This window comes from Homo sapiens, chromosome 11 (assembly GCF_000001405.40).
Source record: "Homo sapiens chromosome 11, GRCh38.p14 Primary Assembly".
Taxonomy (NCBI): domain Eukaryota; kingdom Metazoa; phylum Chordata; class Mammalia; order Primates; family Hominidae; genus Homo; species Homo sapiens.
In genome coordinates this window covers 7,782,396-7,787,795 of record NC_000011.10, presented here as the reverse complement: position 1 = coordinate 7,787,795, position 5,400 = coordinate 7,782,396, and the positions used below count along the sequence as shown (strand labels likewise).

The 5,400-nt window shown below is 39.1% G+C and overlaps 1 pseudogene; it reads right to left on the bottom strand.

The window, feature by feature from the left end:
* On the bottom strand, positions 3,329-4,122 carry RPL7AP55 (ribosomal protein L7a pseudogene 55; annotated as a pseudogene).

Below are 5,400 nucleotides of genomic sequence, written 5' to 3'. Positions count from 1 at the left end.
TTAATTGTGGTAAAATACATATAACAAAAATGTCCAACTTAACCATTTTAAGTGTAAAGTTCAGTGATGTTAAGAACATTCAAATTAGCTGGATGTGGTGGCACATGCCTGTAATCTCATCTACTTGGGAGACTGAGGCAGGAGAATCACTTGAGCTGGGGAGGCGGAGGTTGCAGTGAGCCGAGATCGTGCCATTGCACTCCAGCCTGGGCAACAAGAGCGAAACTCCATAAACAAAGAAACAAACAACCAAAAAAAAATTCACGTTGTTATACAACCATCACCACCATCTATCTTCAGAACGCTTCATCTTTTGAAACTGAAACTGTAACTAGTAAACAGTAACTCTTCATTCCCCTCTCACTTTCAGCCTCAGTAAATCACCATTCTACTTTCTGTCTCTATGAATTTGACTACTCTAAGTAACTTCTACATGTAGAATCATGCAGTATTTGTCTTTTTGTGATTGGCTCATTTCATGTAGCATAATGTCCTCAAGGCTCATCCATGTTGTAGCATACCTCAGAATTTCCTTCCTTCTTTTTGTTTTTAATCCACCCATCCTCACACTGATTCCTTCCCTTTTAAGACTGAAAAATATTTTCTTATATATATATATACCACATTTTTTGTTTATCCATTTATCTATCCATGGACACATGGGTTGCTTTCACCTTTGGGCTATTATGAAGAATACTGCTATGAACACAGCTGTACAAATACATCAATATTTTGGGTATATACCCAATTGTTTTTCAGTTTAGGAGAGTATATACCAAAAAGTGAAATTGCTAGATTATATGATAATTCTAATTTTGATTTTTTGAGGAACTGCCACGTTGTTTTCCACAGTGGCTGCCTGCACCATTTTTCGTTTTTACAAATAATGCACAAGGGTTTCAATATCTGCACATCCACATTTGTTATTTTCTGTTTTTATTTGATAGTAGTCATCCTAATGGTGTGAGGTGATAAGTCACTACGGTGTTGATTTGCATTTCTGTGGGTTTATTTTTGTGCCAGCACCATACTATTTTGATTACTATAGCTTAGTTAATGTAATTTGAAATCAGAAAGTGTGATGCCCCCAGCCTTACCTTTCTTGTTTAAAATTGTTTTACTATTTGGGGTCATTTATCTGTGTTTTCTTCAATTTCTTTCTTAATGCTTTGTAGCTTTCAGTGTAGAGGTCTTTTCCCTCCTTGATTAAAAGTAACCCTAGGTAGGCCTGGCACAGTGGCTCATGCCTATAATCCCAGCATTTTGGAAGGCCTAGGGGAGTGGATCACCTGAGGTCAGGAGCTTGAGACCAGCCTGGCCAACATGACAAAAACCCGCCTTTACTAAAAATACAAAAATTAGCTGGATATGTTGGAGCATGCCTATAGTCCCAGCTGCTCAGGAGGCTGAGGTGGGAGAATCGATTGAGCTTGGGAGGTGGCAGTTGCAGTGAGCTGATATTGTACCACTGCACTCCAGCCTGGGCAACAGAGTGAGACTGTCTCAAGAAAAATTAAAAAAAAAAAGTAACCCTAAGTATATTATTCTTTTTGATGTGATCCTAAATGAGTTTGCTTTTTTAATTTCTTTTTTACCTCTTTTTAACTCATCCATAATAGATGTACATTGTTTGGGGTACATGTAATAACTTAATAGATTAATATCGTTTGTAAAGGTCAAATCAGTGAATCAGTGTACGTGGAATATCCATCACCTTAAATTTTGTCTTTTTTTAGTGCTAAAACCATTTGAATTCCCTTCTAGACTTTTGAAGTGTACAATAGATTATTGTAAACTACAGTCACTCTACTGCCCTACTGACCTATCTAATGGTATATCTTATTTCTTTTTTTCTTTTTCTTTTCTTTTTTTTTTTTGAGACTGAATCTCACTCTGTCACCCAGGCTGGAGTGCAGTGGTGAGATCTTGGCTCACTGCAACCTCCGCCTCCTGGGTTCCAGCGATTCTTCTGCCTCAGCCTCCTGAGTAGCTGGGACTACGTGCACATGCCACCATGCCTGGCTAATTTTTGTATTTTTAGTAGAGATGGGGTGTCACCATATTGGCCAGGCTGGTCTCGAACTCCTGACCTCTTGATCTGCCCAGCTTGTCCTCCCAAAATGCTGGGATTACAGACATGAGTCACTGCACCTGGCCTTGTTTTTTTTGTTTTTTGTTTTAGATGGAGTCTCACTCTGTCACCCAGGCTGGAGTGCAGTGGTGCAGTCTTGGCCCACTGCAACATCCATCTCTCAGGTTCAAGCAATTCTTCTGCCTCAGTCTCCTGAAGTAGCTGGGACTACAGTGCCACCACGCCTGGCTAATTTTTGTAGTTTTAGTACAGATGGAGTTTTACCATATTGGCCAGGCTGATATTGAACTCCTGACCTCGTGATCCACCTGCCTCAGCCTCCCAAAGTGCTGGGATTACAGGCATGAGCTACCATGCCAGTCCAGATCTTATTTCTTTCAGCAAACTCTTGATTTCTTTCTCTGATAGGTTGTCATTGGTGTAAAAAATGCAACTGATTTTTGCATGTTGATTTTGTATTCTGCAACTTAGCTAAATTTATTTCTTAGTTGTAAAATTTTGTTTTTGTCTGACATCTTTATTTTTTTCTTATATATGTTTAATCATGTGTTATGCAAATGGGGTAACTTTACTTCTCCCTTTCTGGTTTGGATGGCGTTTATATCTTTTTCTTGCCTGATTGCTCTGGCTAGGGCTTTCATTGCTACATTGAATAAATGTGGTGATAGTGTACATCTTTGTCTTGCTCCTGATTGTGGAGAAAATCAGAATTTTCTGTGGGATCTAAGGATTTTCTGTGGGATTGTCAAATATGGCCTTTATTGTGTTAAGGGACCATTCTTGCCATTCGTAATTTGTTGAGCATTTTAATCTTGAAAGGAACTTGAATTGTTTAAATGCATTTTCAGCATCTATTGAGATGATCATGTGATTTTTATCCTGCTGGGTTTTGGTGCCAGGATGATGCTGGCCTCCTAGAATGAGTTGGGAAAGAGTCCCTCCTTTTCAATGTTTTGGAATAGTTTCAGTAGAAATGGTATCAGCCCTTCTTTGAACATTTGGTAAAATTCAGCTGTGAATCTGTCTGGTACTGGGCTTTATTTATTTATTTAGACTATTTATTACTGCCTCAATTTCAGAACTGTTTATTGATCTGTTCAAGGATTCAGTTTCTTCCTTGTTCAGTCTTGGGTGTATGTATGTGTTTAGGAATTTATTCATTTCTTCTAGATTTTCTAGTTTATGTACATAGAGGTGTTTATAATATTCTCTGATGGCTGTTTGTATTTCTTTTTTTGAAGGAAAATTTGTATTACTTTAATTATTTTTATGTCCAGAAAACTCAACAGTGTACATTTAACCCAGTTTAGTGGCAAGTTCTTTAGCCTTTGCCTTTTTGAGCTTGGCAATGTGAGCCACAGACTTGGGACCCAGGACATTACTTCCCCATTGATGGCAGATCTCATCGTATCTGTCATTGTAATTGGTCCTGATAGCTTACAACAGCTTAGCCAAAGCTCCTTTGTCTTCCAAGTTAACCTGTGTGAAGGCGACAGTGGTGCAGGTCTTCCTGTGGAGTAGACGTCCAGATCCACGTCATCTGCAATCACCACCAGCTGAGCTTTCTTGTTCTCCACCAAGGTGGTGACAGTGTTAACTCCTGCTCAAAGAACAGGTGGTCTCTTAGTGGGGACATCCCCTTTGCTGGCAGCTTCCTTTTCAGCTTGGGCCAACCACCTCTGCTTCTTCTCTTGCTCTCTGGTCTGTACTTGTGGGCCAGCTTAAGCAGCTGAGTAGTTGTTTGGTGGTCCAGGGCCGGGTGAACTGGTTAATTGCAGGAGGCACTTTCAGCCACTTAAAAAGGATGGCTCTCTGCCACTGCAACCTGATATAGTGGGGCCATTTCACAAAGCAGGTGAGGTCTCTTTTGGGCTGGATGTCCTGTCCAGTGCCAAAATTCTTAGGCCTTTTCCCAAACAGGGGATTCACCACTTTCTTGGCCACCTACTTCATGACAGCAGGGGCCAGAGCCACCTTCTTCCCCTTGGCCTTCTTTCCTTTTGACATCTTGGCTTGCAGGAGGAGAGAGAGGCTGTATTTCTGTGGGGTCAGTGGTAATATCCCCCTTATAATTTCTGATTGTGTTTATTTGAATCTTCTCTCTTTCTTCTTTATTATTCTAGCTAGCAGTTTACCTATTTTATTAATTTTTTCAAAAAAACAGCTCCTGGATTTGTTGATCTTTTGAATGGTTTTTTGTGTCTCAATCTCCTTCAGTTCAGCTCTGGTTTTGATTATTTCTTGTCTTCTGCTAGCTTTGGATTTTGTTGGCTCTTGGTTCTCTAGTTCTTTTAGTTGTGACATTAGGTTGTTAACTTGAGATCTTTCTAGCATTTTCATGTGGGCATTTAGTGCTATAAATTTCCTTCTTAACACTGCCTTAGCTGTGTCCCAGAGATTCTAGTATGTTGTATCTTTGTTCTCATTAGTTTCAAAGAACTTCTTGATTTCTGGCTTAATTTCGTTATTTACCCAAAAGTCATTCAGGAGCACGTTATTCAATTTCCATGTAATAGTATGGTTTTGAGTGAGCTTCTTAGTCTTGAGTTCTAATTTGATTGCACTGTGGTCTGAGAGACTGTTATGACTTCAGTTCTTTTGCATTTGCTGAGGAGTATTTTACTTCTGCTTACTTTTTCAATTTTAGAGTAAGTGCCATGGGGCCATGAGAAAAATGTACCATCTGTTGTTTTAGGGTGGAGAGTTCTGTAGATATTTTTCAGGTTCATTTGATCCAGAGTTGATGGCAGGTCCTGAATATCTGTTGATTTTCTGTCTCAATGATCTGTGTAATATTGTCAGTGGAGTGTTAAAGTCTCCCACTAGTATTGTGTGGGAGTCTAAGTCTCTTTGAAGATCTCTAAGAACTTGATTTCTGAATTTGAGTGCTCCTACGTTGAGTGCATATATATTTATTTAGGATAGTTAGCCTTATTGAATTGAACCCTTTGCCATTATGTAATGCCTTTCTTTGTCTTTCTTGATCTTTGTGGTTTAAAGTCTGTTTTTTCAGAAACTAGGATTACAACTCGTGCTTTTTTCTGTTTTTTTGTTTTCTTGGTAAATTTTCCTCCATCCCTTTCTCTTGAGCCTATGTGTGTCATTGCATATGAGATGGGTCTCTTGAAGACAGCATATTATTGGGTCTTGGTTCTTTATCCAGCTTGCCTTTTTATGTTTTTTAATTGGGGAATTTAGCCCATTTACATTTAAGGTTAGTATTATTATGTGTGGATGTGATCCTGTCATGATGATGCTAGCTGGTTTTTTTGCAGACTTGTTTTTGTGGTTGCTTTATAGTGTCACTG